Source organism: Homo sapiens, chromosome 9 (assembly GCF_000001405.40).
Source record: "Homo sapiens chromosome 9, GRCh38.p14 Primary Assembly".
Classification (NCBI taxonomy): Eukaryota; Metazoa; Chordata; class Mammalia; order Primates; family Hominidae; genus Homo; species Homo sapiens.
The window spans coordinates 70,782,142-70,809,575 of record NC_000009.12 but is presented as its reverse complement, the minus strand read 5'-3'; the positions used below and the strand labels follow the sequence as shown (position 1 = coordinate 70,809,575).

The following is a 27,434-nucleotide window of genomic DNA, read 5'->3' as shown; positions in this document are numbered from 1 at the left end:
TGTAGGCTACAAACCTGTATAGCATGTTACTATGTGGTAGTGAATACTGTAGGCAACTGTAACACGATGGTAAGTATTTGTGTATCTAAACATAGAAAAGACACAATAAAAACATAGTATAAAAGATACAAATAGTACACCTTAATAGGGCACTTACCATGAATGGTGCTTGCAGGACTGGAAGTTGCTCTGGGTGAGTCACTGAGTGAGTGCTAGAATATTTTTGTATACTACTGTAAACTTTATAAACACTGTATAATTAGGCTATACTAAATTTATTTTTTAAATTTTATTTCTTCAAAACTAAATTAACCTTAGCTGACTGTAACTTTTTTACTTTGTAAACTTTTTAACGTTTTAAAACTTTTAGACTATTTTGCAATAATACTTAGCTTAAAACATAAGCACATTATGCAGCTATACAAAAATATTTTCTTCATTTGCTTATTCTATGAGCTTTTTTCTGTCTTTAAAATTTTTTATCTTTGTATTTTTTAAACTTTTTTCTTAAAAATGAAGACACAAACACACTCATTAAACTAGGCCTGCACAGGGTCAGAATCATCAAGATGTCACTAGGTGATAGGACTTTTTCAGCTCTATTACTACCTTATGGGACCACCATTGTATTTGTGGTCTGTCATTGACCAAAGTGTCATTATGCAACACATGACTGTATATCAAGAACATCTTATTTCCTTCTGTGGGTGCTACAATCTGTTCAGCCCAATCATGCAAACTTTCTACTGCCTCAAACAGTCAAGGGAAAGGCCTTCCAAAACACAAATACCAAATTGATGATCAGTTCACTTTAGACTGTAATGACATCATTTTTCAGGTGCTGTCAAGTAAACATGTTTAAAGCTTTCTCCGCCTTTTAGAGGGTCTTCCCTCTAAAGAATAATTTGTGAGGAATAAACAACACAATCTATATCCCTGCTTTTTCATTATATGAAACGACTTGACACAGTTGGCTGTGTAACTGAAATATTTGTCATGCTTGTTAATGAAAAGTTACTTTGTCAATAAAGGTAATAATGAAGCCAAAAAAATAACTTTGAGGGAACAGAGCAAATTTTAGCGAAACTGGTTTCTTGGTATTGACTTGTCATGTTTATCTCACCCATTTTCCTATTCAAGCTAAAGACCTCCCTTTTTTCAGCAAAGAGACTTTTCTACATTGGAATTAGTTGTTCAGGGACTGGGATAGTTCTTGTAAACAAGTAGGTCCCAACAGGAGAGCTGTCCACCATTCTAAGACTTCTTAGACACTTTTACATTCAGGGAAGAATTTTGAGCTCCCTTTTCAGATTAGAAAGATTTGGGTTGCCAATGTTTGACTGGCATTTTGGTCTCAAAGTCAGCAATGTTTACTGTTGTTGGTCAGATACAATAGGTTCCTAGCATAACATAGGAACCTGTTATCTTGATGGAACCCAATATCTTCCTTATTTCATTGCTAACTACCTTTCATATTTTTCATCTGTTTTTATAGCTTCTCCTAACATAACACCATGTAGATCGTATGTCCCATCCATTTCAAGATACTTACAGTTTCCCTTAAATGATATACCCTACTGGATGTGGTTTTGTCTCTTTCTGACATTTACTAAAATTTCATTCTCTTCTCACTCTAACTACCTGGCCAAAACCTAAATTCCTTCAAGTCTCAGATTAAAAATCTTCTCCTCTCTGTAATCTTACCACAACTCCCATCCCTAGTATTCCCTCCAGCTCATACCCTGGTATCCTCCTGGGCCCACATTCACCTCATCCTCCATGCTCTTGCTGTGCTCTATATCAGCCTCTCCCACATACAGCTCCTTTTGGTAGAATGGAGCCTTCATAGTCTCCCATCTGCCTTCACAGTCTCTCATCTTCTGTAGATTGTGAGATCCTATAGAGCACAGCCTGTGTCTTATTCATTGTGGTCATTCTGAAAACCTTGCATAGTGCCTAGCCTATGCAAGTAGGTGCTCAATAACTTGTTATTATAAGCATCACTGTTTGATTTCCCTGGCTTTATTTTTAGCTCTGATTTTCAACCTGACACAAAGATGTAATAGAAGCGACTAGATACTAAAAAGCTATAAAAAAGGACAAATCATAAAGCAATAATGACATAGAAAGACTCAGGATAAATAAATAGCAACATGTACAAGCAAAGACCATCATGCATACTTCCAATTCATGGGCATAAAAGCATTTAGTCTGAGAAAGTTGACTGTGTTCCTGTTGAATTATGATTGTTGTAAATCATTTATATCTTATGAATTTAGAGAGTCTAATGATACATATTTTACAGCAGCCAGTGCACCGTGGCCTCAGTATTTCCATTTCCATGGAAAAAGAAATAACTATTGATTTTCCTCCATTTATTCAAAATGATAATTGCCCATGGTTGCTTTTCAGTCCAGATCAGGATCATTCCATTTAGTAGAAGTGCATGGCTAACTTTAGAAAGTTAGACACACATAAAATTAATGGGAAAACTTATGCTGACCGAGCAGTTTTCTGCCATGATCAACAGTTTTATAGTGAGATATATTTAGGGAAGATAAGGTGTCTCATTCCCTGGGGATCTTAAAGAAAAGTGAGCTGAGATTTTAATTTGCTTGAGATAATCATCTTAAAACCAGGGACTTTATCATAGGACCCTTCAAAGTCCCTTCTTAGGATTTATAATTATTTGTCTCTTCAAATTATTATTTAGATCATGTCAAGTCATTGAAACTAATGGATGTAAAACTGAAGAATCATTCATATAGTCTTGGGAAATGACTATAAATAGTGCTCCCAGATGTCACTAATAAAGTTGTCATAGCTGTTAACAGAATAAAAACTTTTTTCTTTTTATTTTATTTTATTTTATTTTATTTTATTTTTGAGACGGAGTCTAGCTCTGTCACCCAGGCTGGAGTGCAGTGGCATGATCTCAGCTCACTGCAACCCCCGCCTCCCGTGTTCCAGCGATTCTTCTGCCTCAGCCTCCCGAGTAGCTGGGCTATAGGCGTGCACCACCAAGCCCAGCTAATTCTTGTATTTGTAGTAGAGACTGGGTTTCACCATATTGGCCAGGCTGGTCTCAAACTCCTTACCTTGTGATCCACCTGCCTCATCCTCCGAAAGTGCTGGGATTACAGGCGTGAGCCACCGTCCCGGCCAAAAACTTGTTAACCTTGAACCCCTTAAGATCCCAGCTCAGGATCATGAGCCCCTGAGGCAAATGAGGAAAACAGAGATTTTATGCCCTAAAATGGCCAAATAAGGAACAGTTGATTTTTTTTTCTTTTTTGGCACCCATAGCTGAAACAAACAGCACTTCTCCTCATGAACAGGCTGTTCTCCTTCTGTGTTGGAGGCCAGGTTTCAAAGCTGCGTAATGAGTTTCACGTGCTGCAGCCCAGCAGGCAAACATTCAAGTCCTAAATCGCAGGCAGAAGAATGAAGAACTCTCATTGGCTAAGGAGCCTTGGCGTCGCTGGGTTCACATGGGGTACTGGGCAATTCCTGCTGGAACGAGGCAGGGTGAAAAAACAGGTGTGCCTGTGCTAAAACAGGGAGGAAGATTGAAGAGTCAGCTTTTCTGGTCATCAAACAAATCTGAGCTGAGCCCTTCCTCATTAGCAGCATTTCTTCCACCCAAAGGGAGAACAGAGGAAGTGCACACTGACTCTGGTGCATGTTAGAATTTATTATAAAATCCTGGGGGAGGCTGAGAAATAAGCAGCAATTAAACATGGTGTGCCTGCATGAAGAGTTTGGGGAGAAGTAGAAAGTTCACTTCATCTTTCTATTTCCATTCTTAGATTCTATTTTTGCACATGTAAAGCAGGATTTGTTTTCTTTTGTTTATTTTTTTCATTATTCAAGTAATAAGAACTCTTATAGGGTGTATGAATTATTGTTCATAAACTTAGGTATGTAGGAAATGTCACTTGGTAAACATTTTCTTTTATTCAAATAAACCCAATTCCAAGACCCTTTCCACCTGGTTTGTGGTAAAGTCAATCTTTTTTTTTTTTTTTTTTTTTTTTTTTTCGAGATGGAGTCTGGCTCTGTCGCCCAGGTTGGAGTGCAGTGCCGCAATCTCGGCTCACTGCAAGCTCCGCCTCCCGGGTTCACGCCATTCTCCTGCCTTAGCCTCCCGAGTAGCTGGGACTACAGGCGCCCGCCACTATGCCCGGCTAATTTTTGTATTTTTAGTAGAGATGGGGTCTCACCGTGTTAGCCAGGATGGTCTCGATCTCCTGACCTCGTGAGGTAAAGTCAATCTTAACCTTCATTAGGTCTCTCTGTCTCTCTCTGTCTCTCTGTCTCTCTCTGTCTCCCCCCACCACCACCTCCCCCACCCCAGTCTCTCTCTCACCCCACCCTCCTCCTTCCTCTGCCTCTCTTCTCCCTCTCTTTCATGATCATGCTCCTTCTCTCGTGCTTACAGAGTACTTGGAATGTTAAGATAGAGCCTCTTAACTTTTGTCAGCCAAAGTAACCACTGATAAAATAATTGTCCAAGCTTGCTTGATCTCTGCAAAGTGGGTGGCTCTGGTACTCCCATGCTAAAGTAAAACCAGTGGGACCCTGGCTGCAGCTGGCATCACTGGCCAGCAGAGTTCAGCAGCTTCAGGTTCAGCATGCCATGGTGGACTTCACAGCAGTCCCTGTCAGACAAGTTGCCTGCATAATTCCTGCTTTTACGGAGCTTGCATTTGCAGGGGAGGGGATAGAAAATAAGTAAAATATATAGTGTATTGAATAGTGGTAAGGGCTAAGGAGAGATAGAAAGAAGAGAAGGCAGAAAGGGAGTGCAGAGTAGGAGCCGAAATTTCAAATAGAGTCGTGGGGAAGACAAGGGGAGAAGAGAAGGGAAGGGAAGGGGAGGGGAGGAAAGGAAACCAAGAACTGAGTTTTGGGACAGTCTTAGTGTCAGACGTCAGGTAGGTAAGGAGGAAATAGCAAAGAAGAGGAAGAAGGAGCAGCTAGTGAGGTAACAGAGAAACTGGGAGAGAGCACTGAAGGGGAGAAAATAGAATTTTCTTTAACCCTTGTAAGTTTGTAGCTGAGACAAACCTCTATAACAAAAGAAATTAATGAGAGAAAGAGAAAAACAAACAACTTTATTAACACATGCAGTGCACACCACACAAGGGATGTGTTCAAAAGCAGTGGTTTATAAGTCTACTTACATAGTATATCCAATAAAGAACAGTAGTTTTTTGGGTTTTGTTTTGTTTTGTTTTGTTTCTTTGTTTGTTTTTGAGATGGAGTCTTGCTCTGTTGCCCAGTAGTGCAATCTCGGCTCAGTGCAACCTCTGCCTCCTGAGTTCAAGGGATTCTCCTGCCTCAGCCTCCCAAGTAGCTGGGGTTACAGGTGCCTGCCACCAAGCCCAGTTAATTTTTTTTTCTTTGTAGAACTAGGGTTTTGCCATGTTGGTCAGGCTGATCTCGAACTGGTGGCCTCAAGTGATCCACCCGCCTCGGCCTCCCAAAGTGCTGAGATTACAGGCATGAGCCACCATGCCTGGCCAGAACAGTACATTTTGAGAAAGGGACAAGGCAAAGAGGAAGGCAGTCCTAGTCTCCTAGAGGTGGGAAAATGTGGGAAGGTAAATTGATGGGGAGTAAGACTTCCTCACTCTAGCTCCTCTCTGAGGTGATAAAGGTCTGTTCAAAGAGAACTTCTATCTTATTTTCAGGTGGGAGAGGTGGGAGTGAGGAGGGTAGAAAGACCTTTTGTCTTCGTAATTCTGCTTTTAGGTAAACAGAGGCAAGGCAGAAGCACTCCAGGAATTGTTGTGGCTTGCTATAGGTAAAAAAGGGGAGCTCGGCCGGGCGTGGTGGCTCATGCCTGTAATCCCAGCACTTTGGGAGGCCGAGACGGACTGATCACGAGGTCAGGAGATCGAGACCATCCTGGCTAACACGGTGAAACCCCGTCTTTGCTAAAAATACAAAAAAAATTGGCCGGGTGTAGTGGCGGGCGCCTGTGGTCCCAGCTACTCTGGAGGCTGAGGCAGGAGAAAAGCATGAACCTGGGAGGCGGAGCTTGCAGTGAGCCGAGATCGCACCACTGCACTCCAGCCCAGGCTGAGCGAGACTCCGTCTCAAAAAAAAAAAAAAAAAACAACAAAAACGGTGGCGGTGGGGGGCGGAGCTCAGGCAGCCCTTTCTATAATTTTAAAAAATTGTATCATAAAAATATTTATGTCAAAGAGGCATATTTTAGAATGGAATATTCTGGTTTCCTTCAACACTGTCTGGAAGCCAAAGTGAAGAGTGTATTTCCAAGAGGAAGGAATGAAATGGTCAACTGTGTCTAATGCTACTGACGGGCCAAGTAGGAAGAGACCTGGGGACTGACTGTCAAGGATGCAAGGATGCTGCGAGTCCCTTCTTGCCCCCCATCCAAGGCTCAGATCATTTCTTCCGCATCTCATCTGCTCCCACTTCTCCCCCATCAAAGACACTTGCCCTTCTCTTCTTCCCCTTCAGAAAATTGGTGGAGTTGGGCCTTTGTTTTTTTTTTTTTTTTTTTTTTTTTTACAAAATTTCTCCAGGCAAGTTCTGTTTTCTAGCAGCTCTGGCCAGCAACACAAACCTCTCCTGAGAATAGACACCCTAGTGGCCTCTTTTGAAATGAGAAGAAGGAAAAACAAATGGAAAACAAAACCTGAATTAATTAACAGCTCAATAAATTAGCCTGCTACACAGAAAATATATTCTTTACTTTTAGGCAAAGCACCAAATAGTAAATGTACTAAATATATAGCTAGGCAAATTTTACTAGTGCAGTGAAATCCCTATTAAAATAGGGTCGAATCGTAGCATGTTTGTTTTCAAATAGTCCCAAACGGCTAGTTTTAGGGACTGAATTGCAAGAATGGTGCATGTCTCCCACTCTTTGCCTCTATAATAAGAGTGCTTATTGTATCAATCCTGTACAACCAAAATAGGCATCAAAAATTGGCTTATACAGCCAGATTTCCAACTTGGTTAGTTTCTCATTGATCACAGGCACACTCAGACTTAACAGACTAATATATGTTTCCTTATGTAATTTATCACATTAAACCCAGAGGTGAACAAACTACAACTAGTGGGCCAAATCCAGCGTGCCATCATCTGTTTTTGTAAGTAAAGGTTTATTGCAACATAGTCATGCTCATTCTTTATGTGATGTCTCTGGCTGCTTTCACACTGTAACCACAGAGTTGAGTAGTTACAAGAGTCCATCTGGCCTGAAAACAGAAAATATTTGCTATTTGACCCTTTATAGAAAAAAATTTGCTGATGCCTGGTTTAGACTTTAAAATAGACTTCTGGAAAAAATATTGTTCATGGTTATTTCAATCTCATTCCATGGACTTTTGCATTAATTTGCTCCAGGAAGCACTTTTTAGATTTCACTTCTTTTCACAGGCAAAAATCTCCTTTCCCTGCAGCTTTACGCTAGGACACTGTTCTCAAAGTATGGTCCTGGGACCAGCAACAATAGCATCACTTGGAAACTTCCTTGAAATGTACATTCTCAGGTCTTATTCTAGACCTGCTGATCAGAAGCTCTGGAGGTGGGGTCCAGCAGTGTGGGTGTTTTAATAGCTCCTCCTTCAGGGAATTCTGATGCATGCTAAAATTGAGAGACATTTGAAGTGGAGATTTCTACACACCCCTTCTTGGGATAGTTTTCAGTGAACGAATTAGTTTTTGCACATTAGAATCGGGGTTTTAAGAGCAGTCCTTAAAGTGCCACTTTCTTATTTATAACATTAAGATAGTCTACTTTCTACAGTAATGGTATTAGCCCTTATTGTTGCAATCAAATAGATCCTTGGTGGCAGCAGTAGAAAGAAGCAAGTAGCTGTTTCACAGACAAGACAAAGTAGGATATGAGGTTAAATACTCGAGTGATTAAGGACCCAAAGCACCCATTGCATGTCTCTAGGCCATGACTGTCTCCTGATGCCTCATCATCTCATTTCTGGATGAGGCATTCATTTATAAGAGAGAAAAGTAGAAGGGATTTATTTCCAGCACCATCAAGGATATGCTAGAACATGAAAAAAAGAATTAATTTATATTTTCCCCTTATAAGATTTATGCAGGTGCTGCTGTATTGCTGCTGTTTTCCTTTGCTTAATGATCTAATCCTTCCCTGGAGCTTCATTTCCATGTAGCTAGAGAAAGAAATAGCTCTGATAATGAACAGCTGTGATTTAGACGGAGCGAGAAACTTGATCCCAGGAAACCAGGGAGGGGCAACGGTGAGCCTTGGCCCTTTTAAGCCAGAAAGACAAGAAGCAATGAATAAACTCAGGTCCCTTTTTAAATATTTGAGATTTGTATCTATATTTAAAAGCTACCAGAAACCAGTTTGAGACCCTAAGGTATGAGCAAGGTAGAGTGACTGTATATACTGATTTGTTCAGGATCAAATAACTCTAGTTTATACCTTTCATCCCAGAGTAATTATTAATAATGACCCCTTCACTTGCAAGTATGTCCTAATTGTATGATAAATTCTGTGGTCACCTCAGTGAGAGACAACTCAGTAGAGCACCAAGAATTCAGACTGTAGATTTCCTAACAGGACTTTGCTTGAAACCCATTTCTGACACTTACTAGTTGTGTGAATTTTGCAATTTATCCTTTATGCCTCAGTTTGCTTAACTGTAAAATGGAAATAACCATAGAGTTGACCCTTGAACAATGCTGCCCTTAGAGGGTTAGTCAAAAATTCGTGTGTAACTTTCGACTTCTCAAAAAAAAATACTATTGATAGCCTACTGTTGATCAGAAGTCTTATCTATAACATAAACCACCAATTAACACATATTTTGTATATTATATACTGTATTCTTACAATAAAGTAAGCTAAAGGAAATCATATTAAGAAAATAATAAGGAAGAGGAAAAGAAAATATATTACTATTCACTAAGTAGAAGTGGGTCATCATGAAGGTCTTCATCCTCATCATCTTCATACCGAGTAGGCTGAGAAGAAAGAAGAAGAGGAGGGTTGGTCTTGCTGTCTCATGAAGTGGCAGAGGTAGAAGAAAATCTACATATAAGTGGCCCCATGCAGTTCAAACCCATGTTGTTCAAGGGTCAACTATATCTCTATCAGAAGGTTGTTGAGCAGATTGAGTAAGATATGCAACCCACCTGGCTGAGTGCCTGACACCCGGCAGGTGCTCAGCAATGGCTACTTCCCCTTAGGGAGAGAGAATAATATTAATTCATCCAGAATAATTACTCTGGGATGACAGGTATAAACTATCTACATTCAACTGGCCCAGTGGACTTCATTACATTAAATCATCCACTACAACCCAGAAATTCACAAGCAACTTTGTTTTAGTTCCATTTGTAATGACCTTTTTTAACATGTTGCCATGTTGCAGTTGTTTTTTCTTTCTAAGACATGTATTAAGGACATCAAGAAAAAATTGTCTTTCAGAGAAAGTCATATTTGTACTTGAAAAAAATAGTTCATGTTCAGTGTTGAACCAGAGGCTCAACTTTGTTCAATGCTGCTGCAAAGCAAATGTCAGAAACAGAAATGACTGTATTGCAGTTCGTGGTATTGGAGTTTGGAGAGACCCAGTAAACTGTATCCCACTCTTGACTGGATACAATCAAGTATCAAGTCTTCAAATTGACTGAGAGCTAGAGAGTCAGGCAGGTGGAGATCAAAATATCATTTTTATTAATGATGAAGTTGTTGGAGTTAATGACTTAGTGTGAGGGTCAAATGGATTTGCTGGCCTGCCTCAGCTCCAAGAAACCCCACCAGAGAAGAAAGATGGGTCTGTAGCAGACATTTTTTACCAAGATGACTGACTGGCACTGGTCCCTGGAGGGAAAGGAAGAAATAAGCTAATTTTCCCATTACTGCAGGATTAGCTCTATCCAATCAAGAAACACAATAGTCACCAACTATCAGGTTATTCAATTCTATATGTGGAGAGAAGTAAAGGAAAGACAAGAGGCTAGATGTGCCATTCTAATGGAGCTCCCTGCACATGGAAACAAGGAGGGAGCTCCTTTTCCAGAGGAAAGAAGGTTCCCCACAGTGTTGTCACCCATATTTCTCACTGAGGATTTAGTCACAGGAAAGATTCGATCAGATTAGACTTAACAAGTTATTTTTCTCAAAAGATGTCCAGATAATCAAATAACAATTTATCACTTTTCCCAACTGTGGATCAGAAATTGGATGAAATACCATTACTAGATCCAGAATAATCATTGCCTTTCCTTTGTCTCATCTATGATAATGGTTACTTTAATGACCTTGGTGGTGAATGAAGGTCACCCCTAGCTTACAGCACTTGAGCTGTGAAAACATACCAATCACCTCAGTGGGAACAGAATTAGGTTTCCATTTCAGTCATATAGTTCCTGTTCATTTCCGCTGGAGGAAATAATAGTTTTGTAGACATCCTTCCAGCAAGGGGAAGAATGTAAACCTTTGTTAATGTTTTCTCCCTGGTGACCGAGATACTTTGTCGCTTTAGCTGGGTTCAATTCTGAGAAACAATGAGGCTTCAATTTGAGGCTTCAATTTAAAAGTGCAGGACAGCTGAACTGAAATTGGCTGTTCGAGTCCCTAAGAATCTGGGCTCTTTCAGATGTAATCCAGATGGACAGGTGAAATGGAAACACCCACCCAAGGCACTCAGCATGTTCTTCTCTAGGTCTCTGACCACTGCTGAGGCCCCGTAGTTAAGGCCTGTAAAAGGACACCATGAAGCCACCCAAATGGCTGTCATCTCCATTTCAGCAGGATACCTTCCAACAGTGTTGAGGTATGACAGGCAACCCCTTAATGATTATCACGTTATTCCTGTCCCTTTAGCTCTTCTAGTCCTAAGGTATGATCCTAAGCATTGTACCTTTTTATTTTTGTTTTACTTCACAAGCATGTATTTAAACTACCTTTTGAGTGTGAGGCACTGTAAGAACCAGAATGTTATCTGAGAGGGCTGGGGAGTCTGTCAGAATGAGCTTACTTACAGTTAAGTGGAAGAAGCTCTCCTTAAAGCAAGGCAGAATACAATAATCACCAAAAGACATTCTTTTAAAAAAATGGGATCATAAAGTAATGAATAATTAATACTTGCTGAGGAAGTTAAAAAGGGCCTCAGGAACTGGTAATATTTGAACTATGAAGTTTGACTTAGGGGTCTCTGAGGGGCTAAAGTAAATAGTACCCCGAGGGGCCCAGGCATGGTGGTTCACACCTGTAATCCCAAAACTTTGAGAGGTCAAGGCAGGCAGATCACTTGAGCCCAGGAGTTCTAGACCAGCCTGGGCAACATGGCGAAACTCTGTCTCTACACAAAATATAGAAATTAGCCGGGTGTGGTGGTGCCTGCCTGTGGTCTCAGCTACTCTGTAGGCTGATGTTGGAGGATCGGTTGAGCCTGGGAAGTCGAGGCGGCAGTGAGCCAAGATCATGCCACTGCACTCCAACCTGGGTGATGGAGTGAGACCCTATCTCAAGATATAAAGAAAGAAAGAAATAGTACTCCTTTTCTGCATCCAAGTTCTGACCAATTTGAGAAATAAAAGAAGTACTTGGTGGAACCCAAGATATGACTGAAAATTACTTATAGTGGACAAGTGAACAGATGGGACTTTAGTTTTATTGGCCAAGTGGGTTTAATGACACTCCAAAATTGGGCAGAATCCCACGGTGAGTCTTCACCTGCTCACCTCACTGCACATCTTCAGGGTCTGGGTTCCTGGAGGAGCTGAGGGATCTCAGGTTCTCTGAAAGTAGGCAGATGCCAAGAAGAAGCAGAGCCAGGCAGAGCTGAGCAAACCGTTAGTCTTTTCAAATTCACCGGGTGGCCAAGTGAGTAAAGGGGCAGAGAACGTCCAAGGGTGTGCATAGGAAAAATTCCTTCTCTTGAAACCAGGAGTGAGGAAAGATACTCATCTGAAAATTGGTGTGGCTGAAGGAAAGTTTAAAAATCATCCTGCATGGAAGATGGTGAGGATAGTCTGGTGAGACTCAGATCAGGTAGAGAGAGAGCTCTGGAAGAGATGGGGAGACGAAGGTTGGGTGCAGAACAAGGAGAGTCTTGTATATCACACTAAAGGAGTGGGCTTTTCCTAAAAACAATGGGCCTTTCCTAAAAACCCACTACATTTTTACAGAAAGACTGTAATTGTGAGTGACAGCTAGCAGTTAAGTGAAGATCATTATATTAGGGAAGTCAGGTAGGAAGTAATCTCAGTAGCCCACAGGAAAACCAATGAGCACAGACGCTGGGCATTTGGTATAATTCCTGATTTCATGAGAATTTAAATTGCATCTGTCTACTTTGCATCTCAGGTCAGTTGATGAGGAGAAAATTACTCCTATCATAAATAATTTTAAAATTTACGTGGAAATAATTACGTTGTCATTTAACCTATCTACCTTTTTGTTTTTTCAAGAGACAAGATCTCACTCTATCACCCAGGCTGAAGCACAGTGGCACAATCACAGCTCACTTCAGCCTCGACCTCCTGGGCTCAAGCAATCCTCCCACCTCAGCCTCCAAAGTAGCTGGGACTAAAGGTATATACCACCATGCCCAGCTAACTTTTAAATTTTTTTGTAGAGACAAGATCTCCCTATGTTTTCCAGGCTGGTCTTGAACTCCTGGGCTCAAGTGATCCTCCTGCCTAGGCCTCCCAAAGTGCTGGGATTACAGGCATGAGCCACCATGCCCAGCCCCCTGCCTTCCTTTGTACCCCAAATGTCAGAGAGCAACTACGACATGTAGAGCATTGTATGATATGTTGGTAATACAGAAATAAATACCTAATAGAGAAAAGAGATGCCTAGACATCTCTGCTCTGTTCAAAACCCACATCAAAAGTCATTACTCATGTAATTAATGTGATAAAACTTCAAAAGCTATATGTAAGGCACTATAAGAAGTTTTTCTTTAATACCATCATAGTTGATTGACAAATTTATAAAGGATGTTCATTGGCATGTGCTTCTTTTAAAAAGAAAATGCTATGAGAACACACAATGAGAATGTCTTTGAACCTGGGACCTGAAGGATGAATATGTTCCTCGCAGAGACAACATCAAAAACAAAATTCCTTGAAGAGAAAATGGAGCTTTTTGCATTTGGGACAGGTAGAAGTAATTGCTGTCTCTTTCAGTAGGTACAAAGACAAAAATTATTTTTATAATTTGAAAAAAGCAAATTAACATGCATACCACCAGCAACATTTCCCTCACTGCAACCATCCACCTTCCTGCCTAGCTCGTCCCTGAAACATGGGCCAGGTCTTTTCTGTGATTTTCCGATCCATAATTCCCTTAGCTGCTTTGCTCCTTATTAATTTTGTCAAGAAGCCAAGGAACTTGTATGGGCTATGGACTTAGATCCTGGAACATTTGCAGGGGAACATGGGTAGCGTATTATAAAGTAAAATGAGCTAAAACCACCCTGATTACATCTGAGAAGGCAACATCTGACTTTTGATGTGGGTTTTGCACAGAGCAGAGACTAAGACTAGAGCTTTGTTTGGGAGAGTTTTCTTGTAGACTTAGATCGATTACATTAAAAGATTCAGCCTTCAAACAATGGCTCCAAAGAAAATAATGTTGGCTTTTCCCTTTTATGAAAATAATACTTGTCTTACAGCCCAAGGGATTGGCCATCCTTTTTCTATTGAAATTATTCAGAGGAATGCTGCTTGGATGTCCTGGTAATGTATTGACATTAATAGCGGAATATTTCAATCAGAGCCATCTGGCCACAAGGGAATAACAGCTCCCATTGATTATGTAAAAAGCTAAGTTATCGTCTGGGTATATAATACACTTGGAGTTGGTTTATGGGTTTTGTTATTTAGCATTTACATCTCCTTCCAACCCACAGAACTCGAAAGACTTAACAAGCTGGTTGATGAATAAGGAGAGGCCCCTGGGGGAAGACGTTCGGGGCGTGATGCAAAAGGCCACCTATCCCAAAGCAGGAAGAGTTAGCCTTTTGGACACACGAGAAGGGAATTGGATAATTTGGCATATTATCAGTCTGCATAAGAGGGTATTCAAACTTTGGAGAGGGCTATTTCAAATTATTTGTTTGCCAGAGCCTTCTTTCAGTTTAAATGTGTAAAATGCATTCATTTTTCTTTTCTCTTCATGAATCATTTATACATTCAAACGAGAAACTTTGTATAAGCTTAATAGATATAAATAAGCATCTTTATATTTGTGTTTAAGCATAAAACTCTTAAGTGCCAGGCTCTAAGTGCTTTATAAATAATAATTCATGTATTATTCAAAACAGTTTTGTGAATTATATACCTACTCTGTGTATTAAATGCTGTATAGAATATCAATATGCAAACACCCCTCAATGTCCATGGGGGATTGGTTCCAAAATCTCCCACAGATACCAAAATCTGAGGATGCTCAAGTCCCTTGTATAAAATAGTGTTTTCATATAGGCTATGCACACCCTTCCAGATATCTTAAATAACCCCTAGATTACTTATGGTACCTAATATAATGTAAATGCTACATCAATAGTCGTTACGCTTTATTGTTTAGGGAATGAGGACAAAGAAAAATGTCTGTATGTATTCAGTATAGGAATAATTTTTTTTCAGAATATTTTTGATCTTTTGTTAGTTGAGGCCACAGATGTAGAACCCACGGATGCAGAAGGCCAACTGTATACTTTTTATGTATCAACATATGTCAAGATGCATTTCTGCCCTTCTAGGATGTGAATGGCTCCAGCTTATATGTCGTTAGCTTTGTAAAGTCCAGCAAGGCTGTGGGGGTTTACAGTAGCAGGGAGATAAAATAGATAGAGCAGCACATGCTGAGAGTGAATCAGGGAAAGTGGGAGTCGACGGGAGCCAGCAGGCACATGGGGAAAAAGACAATCATGGACCTAGAAAGCAGAAACTGAGAATGAGAATACAGAAGATTCTGCCCAGATGCAAACAGGCAGCCCAAAGCCTAAGGAAAAGCCTCCTCCGAGAGAGTGAGACTAGCCAAGGCTTCCAGAGTGCAGGATGGAGATGGGAGTGGTGAGGGGCAAAGCCCTTCAGGAAGGCCCACTGCAATCAAGCAAGTCTTGGGGTCCATGTTGCCAGGAAGGGAGCAGGCAAAAGGCCAAGCCTCACTGGAATGTAGAAGGTGGTGCTGCTCTCCAGAAGCTGGGGATATTCAGAGAGGAGTGATTGCTCTCTCTGCCCTGGGTCTTAGACCTTTGGAAAGACCTGATTTAAGCCCTTCATTATCAGGGTGAAGTTTCTTGATAAACCACACAGGTGACTCCTTTTCTCTTTACGTGAGAGATGGAGAGTAGCTTCCCATATAGTAAACAGTCTTCCCACACGATCATGAGTTATGCTGGAAAGGAAGCCCCTCCTGACACTAAACAGGGTATTGGGACTGCACTCAGCATTGACCTGAATAGTTCATCTTAAAGTCCCACTTAAAAAAAAAAATCTGCTATCCCAAATTCTCATATGAAGGACCCTCAAGTCCAAGTACAGACGCTGCTCCAATTATGATGGGGTTATGTCCAATCAAACGATTTTAAGTTGAAAACACAGCTAATACACAACTTGCCAAACATCGTAGCACAGCCTAGCTTACTTAAATGTACCCAGAGCGTTTACATGAGCCAACACATGGGTACAATCATCTAACACAAAGTCTATTATATAACAAAGTGTTGAATATTTCATGTAATTTATTGAAAATGAAAGACGAATGGTGGTATGAGTACTAGAAGTATGATTTCTACTAAATATGTATCACTTTTGCATCACTGCAAAGTTGAAAAATTGCAAGTTGAATCATTCTAAGTGAGGGACTGTCTTGACTCTTTTCCTGCCAGGTTTTCATAGTTACAAAACAGCTCATGTGGACCTTCAGGATAAAAGACAGGTGAAGACTGCCTTAGAGCAAGCAGAGTGGCAGCCGGGAAGAGGAATGTTTGATCATGATAATCTCATGCAAAGTACATAAAGGGGTATATATATGTATGTATATATGTATGTATGTTTATATGTGTTTATATGCATACATATACATATGTGTTTTATATATATATATATATATATATTTTTTTTTTTTTTTGAGACAAAGCCTCACTCTGTCACTGAGGCTTTGGTGCAATGGCACCCTCAGGGCTCACTGCAGCCTCGACTTCCCAGGCTCAAGTGATTCTCCTACCTCAGGGTCCTGAGTAGCTGGGACTACAGGCACATGCATCAAACCCCACTAATTTTTAAAAATATTTTTGTAGAGACAGGTTCTTGCTATATTTCCCAGGCTGATCCTGAATTCCTGGGCTCAAATGATCCTCCCGCCTCGGTCTCCCAAAGAGCTGGGATTACGGCATAAGCCATTGTGCCCAACCATAAATGGGTATTCTTTATAAGGAGGCAGAAACATGTCTGTAGGAAGAGTTGGCAAATTATAGCCCACCCTATTTTTATTTAGCTCATGGGCTAAGAAGTTATTTTATATTTTTAAATGTTTGTAAATAAAAGAATAATATTTTGTGGCATGAAAACTAAATGAAATTCAAACGTCAGCATTTATACAAAAATTCCATTTTTATTAGTAAGCCTGTATTTTAAAACATATATATATATTCAGTTGTATTTTGAATTTTAATTATACAAAATTGAGTAGAATTTTTTTCTCTCTTATTATGTAAGCACCTGCACAATTTTCTCTATTTTACCCTTTGGCCTACAATGTCTAAAATATTAATATTTACTATGTAGCCTTTACGCAAAAAACTATCTACCCCTGGTGAATAGGGGACTCTCTGCAGGAACCATGGACAAGTGACTATAAATAGGCCTGAAAAGTTACCAATAATCCCAGCTATATCAGTTCTCTCTCTCTCTCTCTCTCTCTCTGTCTTTCTGTCTCTCCACCTCTTTCTCTCTCTCCTGTCTCCCTTTGTTTCCCCTCCCTTCTCTCTTCCTCTGTCCCTCTTTTATTCTCTCTTCCTCTCTTTCACAGATGCCCTCTCTCTGCTTTCTTTCATTCTCTTTTATTCTCTCTCTCTCCCTCTTTTTCCCTCTCTTTCATAGATTCTTTCTCTTTTCTCTCCCCTCTCTCTCTCCTTCCTCCCCCATACCACTTCCTTCCCTCTTCCTGGGGCCATGTGATCTCTCCCCTCCATGGTACCCTCTGCTCCTTTGTTTTCTACCTGCATATGGCTTTTTTGTTCATTGGCTTACCTTCCTCACATGGTTGGTCTGGAGGACCACCACTAACAGAGGCTTCATTCCCCAAGTATGCATGCCCTGGAAGCCCATCTCCCAGTTACTGGCCTTGGGCTCAGGATCTCCACTTCAATCCCAGGAAAGCAAATCTGGCTCACTGCAGGTCTGACATCCATGTAAGTCCAGCCAGCTTTGAAAAAAGTCAAGCAGGGCTGCGCCTTCTATGCAGTGGATGGGTCTGTTCTCTGACAGGGGAGAGGGGATAGGGCGGACACCATGAGAGTTTTCAGTACACATGCCACAGTGACCTCTTTGGCCAGCTTAAAGGATTTCCCATTCAATCTACTCATCCACTGCCCAGCTTCTGTCCTTTGTCCTCCGATTACTAGATAGAAAAGCAAAGCAAGAAGGCAATGCCCCAAAAGAAGGCCAGTCGATGGGCATTAATACAGGATTGCTGTGAAAATGCCTCGAGCACTGAGAATGCACAAAATAGATTTGTTTAGCTGTATTGAAAACAAACAGAAAAAAATACAGTTTGCCATATTAATTTAATATATTCTGCATTCTCAGTCCCTAGGAAAAGATACACTATGCACCATCAGTTTTCAATTTTTTATCACTGTGTGAGGGAGGCATTCTAATTAATCCAAACTCTATATTTTCAGTGTCTTGACATCCCCATATCTCCAGCCAAATTTGCTAAAATTTCACATGCCAAGATAAAAGATACAAGCATGTTATTCTGGAGTATTGTTATTAGCTTTAAATATGAAAAGATTGTACATAGAGGGGGTTCATTAAGTTAACTATCAGTAAGGGAGTTGCCATAGAAACTGGTAATAAGAGAAAAAGACATTTAAGAAATTCATGTTATTTTTACCCTTGCTTAGTCCCAAAGTGGGTTGGAAACATATGCCTTGGGAAGTTCCAACCTCAGGGAAGGACCCAAGCTATCTTTCAAGGAATTTCTTTCTGTCTAGAGAACCATAAGTATTTAGAAGTGAAACATTTTGTTGCGTGTCGACTGTTTAATAACTTGTGTGGTACTTCCTATTTCCAAATGCTTTCCTGAGCATCAATTTAGGTGCAAGATTATAATGGCAAAAAAATGTATAGCGTACAGGATTGGTTTGCATTGGGTCTGGCATTCACCAATTGGGTACCTCATGGATTTTCAATAAAAGAAATCTGAGTTTATTACCCATTTACAAGTAAGGTCAGACACATTCCAGTTATAGTTAGGCTGTCTTGAATAATTTATCCTAACTCTATAACGTGAAGGCAATATCCAAAATACCTGCCTCCATAGAAGACCTAAGAGACATTCTAGTTAAAATGAGATGCATTTATTTTCAAATGTCACCCCTAGATGTTTTCTTGGGCTCACTCTGCTCCTCAATAGCTCAAAGCTTTCTAGTCACATTTCCTTTTGCAAAAATATAATGTATTAAAATATTCTCTGTCTGTACAATAATATTTCCACAGTTGTACCTGAATATTCATGTATTCACAACTGGGAATCTTCCTAATTGTAAGAAGCACCTTAAACTTACTAAGAAAAAAAAATACTTTTGAATGTTTTCAGGCACAACCGATTATCAGATTTATGTAGTTTTCATAAATTCATCTCACACTTTCCAGACCACAGAAGAGATGCATTAGTTAAAGATATCAAGAATCGAATTCTGAAACTATTTGTAAAGAGCTGCGGTAGTGTGCAAACTTCAGCCATTATTTCTCAAGTAGGTATTAATTTGTTACCCATTAAAATGAGGCAAAATAGCTTGCCTGCTCTCCATGGATGCATAATGTCAAAGTACATGAATTCTCTACACAGACATTTAAATCAACAAAAATCACATAACCCTGGAGCTGGCAAGGCAAGGAATTGCTAACTGTGTTCATGTTACTGGGACATGCTTTAGCTAGTAAACACAAGTATCTAGCCACCACTGATAGACTTAGTATTGAATTGTTCAAGATCTTCAGGAAGTTATCTCTCACTTAAAGTGCAAATCCCCTTTTTAAGTGACCTATACTGTAATAATCATGATCTGTGGCCTATAGTCATTAAGATGTAGGTAGAGAATGATCTTCTATGCTCTATCTCCATGTAAATATGAGCCAGTTTCCAACAGCAAATAGATTATCCTTCAGACCCATACGCACTTTAGATCATCTGTGGGTGACCTTGACATAAAACCTAACAGTTAATTTAGTTTGATTGAAATTTTACCCAGGCATTTTACTATTAAACACCAAATGTTTTCACAAATAGCTAAGCTGATCATAGATTATGGTTTCATATCAGCAGAGAGAGTTAATTGCTGTTAATAAAGAGAAGAAGAAGAAAGACTGCTTAGAATTTTAAGACATTCTTTCATTCCTGACACCTCTCTCCCTCACAATGCCTCTCCCAGTCTTTTCTTATGGCAGTTTAGACACTTTTAGCTTTATTGGGAGCCCCGGCTGAATTGCCTAGCAGTTGAAACAAAATGTGACAAAAGTCTAAGAGGTTATCTTATGCAAGGACTTAGGGTTCAGTATGTAATTAGAAAGCCCTAGGGTAACCTAAAACCCTGTAGAACGCAGAGCTGTTAAATCTGTTACTCAAGCTCACATTTTCGTATGCTCTAATGTTTCCTATTCCAAAATTGCAAAAGCTGGAGAGTGTGGCAAGCATCTTGCCTATTCCTGCTTAAAGCAACCTTATATTGCTCTCAAATAAAATTCTAATGGAAAGTTCTGAGAGCTATGACAAGTCTTTGGTGATGGTAGAAAATGAAAAATGACTGCAATCAACTAAGGAATTGGCTTACTTCATTCCAAAACCAAAGAACAAGTATTCACCAAAAAAGGGACCTGGGAGAATCTAGGTAATTTTTTTTCCTACAGACTGTATTTTTTAAATTAAATCTAAACAACCTTTTATTTTATTCATTTGTTTTCAATGAATGACCAGTAGGTTTAGCTGAGCGAGACACAAATTTGTAAGGCTCTTCAAAGGAACTTACATCAGTTTCTTTATGAGCATAAAGAAAATGGCAGTGAGCCCTATGAATCCAGCCCAGCTGGATATGCAGTGGATTCCCAAAATGTTTTCTTTATGTCACAAATAAAAAATGTAGCATTCTTGACATTCTAAAAAGCTGTTTCTTTTCTATGAAGTCTTATCCTGCAGATTCTAATTTGTAAGATTGTGAATCTTGCTAGAGTTTTTTAAATATCCTGTGTTTGAGCTGTAATTTAGAAAAAAAGTGTGAACAGAAAAAAAAACAAGAAAGAAAGAGGAGAATGGAGAGAGAGTGGGGGTGATATCCTAACCAGGAGTCCCCAATCCCCTGTCCACAGACTGGTACCGGTCCATGTCCTATTAGGAGCCAGGCCATAGGTGAGCGGCTGGCAAGTGAGCGAAGCTTCATCTGTATTTACAGTCACTCCCCATCACTCACATTATCACCTGAACTCTGCCTCCTGTCAGATCAGCTGCATAGGAGCGTGAGCCCTATTGTGAACTGTGCATATATGGTATCTAGGTTGCGTGCTCCTTATGAGAACCTAATGCCTGATGATCTGTCACAGTCTCCCATCATGCCTAGATGGGACCATGGGAACCCTAGATGAGAAAGCAAGCTCAGGGCTCCCACTGATTCTACATTATGGTGAGTTGTATAATTATTTTATTATATATTACAATGTAATAATAATAGAAGTAAAGTGCATAATAAATGCAATGCACTTGAACCATCCCAAAACCATCCCCCTTCCGGCGTCCATGGAAAAATTGTCTTCCATGAAACCAGTCCCTGGTGTCAAAAAGGTTGGAGACCACTGCTATACACAGTGTTTCACTGTGGAAGGTTTAGCCAATCAATATAACTGGGCAGTAATAATGTGATATAATCCTCCTGGGCATAGAATTTTGTTCAAGAATTTATCCTAGAACTTGTGTCAGAGGCCTCAGTGAGTTTCACAAAACAACACAAACAGATGCCCTTTGCAGATGTATCAATGTGCTTAATTTAGGGTGGGGTTTTGCAAGGGTCCATTAACAAAGTATTCATAGGCTTATGATCAGCTAAGGTAGGTTTCAAGAATCCATAAAGGTGGGAATTGAACAATGAGAACACGTGGACACAGGAAGGGGAACATCACACTCTGGGGACTGTGGTGGGGTGGGGGGAGGGGGGAGGGATAGCATTGGGAGATATACCTAATGCTAGATGACGAGTTAGTGGGTGCAGCGCACCAGCATGGCACATGTATACATATGTAACTAACCTGCACAATGTGCATATGTACCCTAAAACTTAAAGTATATTAAAAAAAAAAAAAAAAAAGTCAGGATAGTGAGAGAGTAGTAGCTGGTAGCGGGGACAAGGGGCCCTCTTAGGGTTCTAATAATATTCTATTTCTTGATATGGGTGGAGGTTACATGAGTGTGTTCACTATGTGGATATGTATTGTTGTTAGAGATAATGTGTGTACTTTTCTGTATATATGTTATTCTTCAATAAACCATTTAAAACATTAAAAAAATAAAATAAAAAAATAAAAAGCAAAAAAAAAAAAAAAAAAAAAAAGAATCCAAAAAGTCCCTGAAATTGCATAGAAACATTTTTGTGTCTACCCACATGTATGTTTACTTTTCTGGAGAAAGGGTCCCTAGCTTTCATAAAATTCACAAACATATTCTAAGAATAGGCTACAGACTACTTCAGGTCATTACTAGTTATCTGATGTCATTTTCTTTTGCCAGAAATAAAGACAATACGTTTATGTGTGTAAGTAAGTGTGTGTGTGACCTGACAGAAAGGTTTAATGTTAACATATCTTGGTTAACTTACAATAAGCATGATAGTTTTAGGCATAGTTTGATTTTCTACCTCTCATAACTAAGAAATTCAAAACTGCTTTTGTTTGTACCCTATAAAGGCTTTTATTATCCATGGAACAAATGTCCGTGTATTATCACTGAAAAAAATAAGAGAGAATTTGGAAGCATAGATATATTCAATGTTTATGAAAAAGATGACAGTTTGCTCCGTTCAATTTTTGGCACCAAATTTGACTAAATGTGTGTGTGTGTGTTCAGCTCTGGATTAATACGTTTGTTTTCATCATTTTAATTGGTAATTAGTTTCAGTTCAAATATAGGAAATCATTATCCTGAAAATCTTTCTGTACTTCTAGAAGTTATAATATTTTGATACATTGACAAATATATTGACAGAGAATAAACTGACCATGTATTACTCTCAAACAAATCAGCCTATGAGATTTGGTCTTTTCATTATGTATGCTCTCAAAGGGAGAGGAGGTTTCCAGCCATCTTTCCTGCTGTCTTGTAGATGCCAGATCACTGGAACATGGTAGAAGGTCCATGCTAAGTACTTCTCCCTCCACGAGAACACTGAGTGGATCACACTTGGTCTGTGAGTTGGAGTAAAGATTCCACCGACAGAATCCAAGAGTCCTAGAACTTGGCAAATTCTAGGATGTCTTAGAAGATCCTAGAAGGGGTCTAAATATATCATCTGATATAAAACAGCAGGTATAGGGTATTGTTCCTTAATACAAAGTCAATGACATAGGAGCATATGCTAAAGCAAATCAAGGGAAAAAATAAATAGCATGGCAAAAAACACAATTACTTTTGCACCAACGTAATACTTTGGGAAATACTTCATAAAATAACCTTTAACAATGGAAAATAGGCTACCTTTTTGAAGGCATGTTATAAAATACAAATCCCTATGGGGTGGATATTTTTATGAGAGCAAATTCTCCTCCCAAAGAGAAATGTTGTGTTAACATTTCAAGTTAGCCCTTAATCTTTTTTTGTTTTTATTTTATTTTTTGAAATGGAGTTTCACTCTTGCTGCCCAGGCTGGAGCACAATCGTGTGATCTTGGCTCACTACAGCCTCTGCCTCCCGGGATCAAGCAATTCTCCAGCTTCAGCCTCCCAAGTAGCTGGGATTACAGGCGCCTGCCACCACGCCCAGCTAATTTTTTTTTTTTTTTTTTTTTTTTGGTATTTTTAGTAGTGACAGGGTTTCACCATGTTGGCCAGGCTGTTCTCAAACTCCTGGCCTTTGGTGATCCGCCCACCTTGGCCTTCCAAAGTGCTGGGATTACAGGCATGAGCCACTGTGCCTGGCCAGCCCTTAATCTTTAAAGTACCTTTCAACAGGAATTTACTCAATCATCATAATAGGCAGCAATAAGGAAACTGTCTCCTTTACAGACACCTGAAGAGAGCCTTAAGGAGACCTAGCATTTGAGTCACTAAGGGCTCCTGGGTCAAAACAGAACAGCAAGGCCTTTCACTTCCCTCTCCTTGGATTTGAAAGAGTAATTCTCAAGACCTCCCCATCCACAGAAAACGAATGGGTCCCCAGGTCACTTGTCTCTCCCAGTTCCCTCTAGGAACTGAAAGAAATCTTGGCATCTTGCCTTGATCAACAATCATCATTTTCTTTTACGTGTTTTAAGTGGACATGCAAAACAGCACCCACTTTTGTGTAACTGGCATTTTGGATCATTCTTTTAAGATGAAAATCACACCAGGAAAAACATCAAGTTAAAGGAGATAAAGCCCTAGGAGACTAAAGTATTTATGCTTTAGAAGTAAAACAGGTCACATAAGTCAAAAATATCCTTTACCCGAGCAAGAAACCAAATCCTAAACTATTACTCATTACGGGGAAGCAGTTTCTTGATATCAGATAAAAGCATAGCAAAAGAAGTAAAAGGGAGAACTCAGATGTCCAAGAGTTGTTTTATTTTAGTTTATATTTATGGAAGTAGTACAGAATTTTGATTATTTCTTTTTTAAGATAACTGCTGTGTGCGCCCTCTAAGACCAGCTCACTTTTATGGTACTGCTCAATTCCTTAATTATTCTGAGGCAGCAGAGAGAAAAAATACAATGTGATACCAAATTGAACAAAAGGAAGTTATTCAATGATAAATCATACTTGAAATGTCACTTAAAAATGAATTTTTCTTTGTCATCATGTCTCTCATGGACATTTGATTTTATTACTTCTCTTTAAGGTTAGGTTGAACGATGCATACAGCAATTAAAGCAATTTTCACCTGAAAACAGCAATGTCTTCTGGCTCAGCATAAATAGCTTAAATACTTTTGGGAAACAATTCAACTGAATCCAACAAATGTTTACTGAACTCACATCACGTGCCTAGCTCCTTGCTCAGTAGTGGCAGATGCAATAATGGCAGATGGCAGATACCATATCTCCTGGGTAATTCAACATGACAATCATGCTGTTAAGAATCAATAATCATACAAAAATTAGCTGAGCATGGTGGACGTGCCTATAATCCCAGCTACTTGGGAGACTGAGGCAGGAGAATTGCTTGAACCTGGGAAGCAGAAGTTGCAGTGTGCTGAGATTGTGCCACTGCACTCCAGCCTGGGTAACAGAGTGAGACTCCATCTCAAAAACAAAAAATTAATAATCAGTCTGATCATCTATGGTCAAAGACAGACCCAGAATTCAGCCAGTAGTTGATTCAACAAGTTAAAATATGTCCCCAGCTGATTTTGATAGTGTTTAATAAAAAGAGCCATGTAGGGATTTTCTTACCCCTGTGATAACTTCAGGGAGGTGGCATTTTTTAACTTCCTACTTTTCATATAGGAAACAGACTCATTGGAAAGATAAAAGACTTGCTTCAGATCATGTTCAGCTTCCACGCTCTTGGTTGCTGGTCTGGTGCTTTGTCTGTTGACTAATTCCTTTTTCTCCCTCCTCACCCCAGGCCCTCCCCTGTAAAGTATGGAACCCCGTGCCTTCACTGACCCCAGCATCCTGAGAGTTGAGGGGAGAGGGCAAAGTCAAATAGACTTTCTGGTGGGAAAATTTGGCTGAAGGGTTTTCTGTAAATTTTTGCTCAGTACCATATCCCTTCATATGTTGCTACCTCCCCCGTGCTCAGTAATTTTAGTTTGTGCTTTTTGTTTCTCTTTTTGTTTCTTTGGTTTGCTGGCTTTGTGTTCTTTTCTCTTTTTTTCCTTTTCTTTTCCTTTTTTAATGCAGGAATCGGTCAAGGTGTTCCTGTGGTGGCACTCATAGTGGAAGGAGGACCCAATGTGATCTCGATTGTTTTGGAGTACCTTCGAGACACCCCTCCCGTGCCAGTGGTTGTCTGTGATGGGAGTGGACGGGCATCGGACATCCTGGCCTTTGGGCATAAATACTCAGAAGAAGGCGGGTAGGTAACTTTCCAGGCCCCATGGAAGAACCCTAAAGCCTGTTTGGAAACGAGGGTATGAGTGGATTATGTTTTCAGTAGCTCAACCAAGACCTCAAATCAAAACAAGCTATGAACAAATTGTCTAAAAAATGTCTGTCATGGGAGGGCTGTGGTGAAGAACAGAGAAACATATTCTAAATGTCCTGTGAAGTGGGAAATTCTATGAAAGCTACACGGATAATAAAAAGGGTGAGGAAAAGAGAGGAGGTCATAGGCTGTGGTCTCCTTTTTCTTCTCTTCGTATCTCCTTCTCCTCCTCCCAGTAAGGAGAAGCAGGAATTGAGTTTTAACACATGAAGCACATCCAGTCTGTACCAGATGGTTCAGGTTGGTAACTTCAGAGAAGCTGGGTTGTTCAGCTTCCAGGCTTGGCCTCCAAACACCAGCATTGCGAAGCCACTGTGAAGATATGTGGTAGATCGTGCCATCAGGCTTCTCTAGACGGGCTGGGAAAGTCAAATCTCTGTAATGGTAACTACTCTGGTCCTTTGTAAACTCCTGTTGAACCCCTCATGCCCTTTCCTTGGTCTGTTAGGCTCTTAATGCTACTTTCAACAGCCCAAAGCCCCCAACCCCAGAAAAGATTCCCCCTTCACAGCACTCCCCTCCAATCCAACTTCCCACTGAGCAAATGCTGAAATCCAGGCACTCTTGCAGATTATTAGATCAAAATAAACCATCCTAAGGTGTGAGTGAGATTGAGGGGGTAAAACCCAGGGAAGCCATTGATGTTTTAAGTAAGGAACTTCCTAATCCAATCAATTCCCCTAACACATGAAATTTGTGGGGAGGGGAAAGCCCCAAATGAGATGATGGTCTTTTATTCATGCCTTTTATAAATATACATTAAGTGTTTCCTGGGTGCCATGTACTAGGCCAAACATTAAGATGTAAAAAAGAAAAACGTACAATTAATTGCCACTCTCAAGATGCTCACAGTAAGTCTAGTAAGTAGACAAGTATTACAAAACAAAAATACAAGTGAGCTCACCTACAGCAGGATGCTCCCTCCTCCATCCCTCTCGTACCCATCCCTCTTGTACCCAGCCTGCTTTATTTAAATAGAGACTGAGCATGGCAAGTCAGTACCATCCCGTCTCTCCCTATCCCCTTCCTCATCTTTGACAGCAGCCCAGTACTCCACATAAGCCATTAAAACAGTACGCCTACCTAGTTAGTAGATGAACCTATGTTTGTGAAATGAGGAATAACAAGAGGCATTGAGCCTCCAGCTTAACACTGCAAACCCGAAAGCTCTGAAACCAAAAAATAATAATAATAATAATAATAATTTTTATAAACTCTAAGTTGGAGTTTACTGGCAAATTTAGTTAAATTACTATTATATTTTGATAGTAAATATTGGTCCATTTTATAGCTCAGAACTATTTAAATTTAGTTAAATTACTATTATATTTTATAGTAAATATTGGTCCACTTTATAGCTCAGAACCTAAAAAGAGAATATGTACCCAAACTTCTCTATGTTTACAACCAACCCAGAGTTTAAGATTCTGAATTGTGCTTTGTTTTGTTAAAAATTTAACCAAGGGTCAGGCACAGAGGCTCATGCCTATAATCCCAGCACTTTGGGAGGCCAAGGCGGGTGGATCACTTGAGTTCAGGAGTTCAAGACCAGCCTGACCAACATGGCGAAACCCCATCTCTACTAAAAATACAAAAATTAGCCAGGTGTGGTGGCATGTGCCTGTAATCCCAGCTACTTGGGAGGCTGAGGCAGGATAATCGCTTGAACCCAGGAGGCAGAGGTTGCAGTTGCAGTGAGCCAAGATTGTGCCATTGTACTCCAGCCTAGGCAACAAGAGCGAAACTCTGTCTTAAAAAAAAAAAAGAAAAAAAAAATTAACCAAGGTTCTCCTTTCTCTAAGTCTAGCAATTTGTTCTATTTTTCAGAAATAAA

General features: G+C 39.9%; 1 protein-coding gene across 23 annotated transcripts in view; it reads left to right on the top strand.

The window, feature by feature from the left end:
- The window catches only part of TRPM3 (transient receptor potential cation channel subfamily M member 3), a 917,912-nt gene that overhangs the window by 637,396 nt on the left and 253,082 nt on the right, over positions 1-27,434 (top strand). For 19 of the 23 annotated variants that reach the window (NM_001366143.2, NM_001366141.2, NM_001366142.2 and 16 more), the window contains one exon: positions 25,297-25,471. In NM_001366143.2, coding sequence (NP_001353072.1) covers positions 25,297-25,471 — 175 coding nt within the window. Of the gene's footprint in view, positions 1-25,296; positions 25,717-27,434 lie in introns of those variants that run through there. The other 4 variants (NM_001366144.2, NM_001366153.2, NM_206948.4 and 1 more) reach the window with 1 other exon arrangement.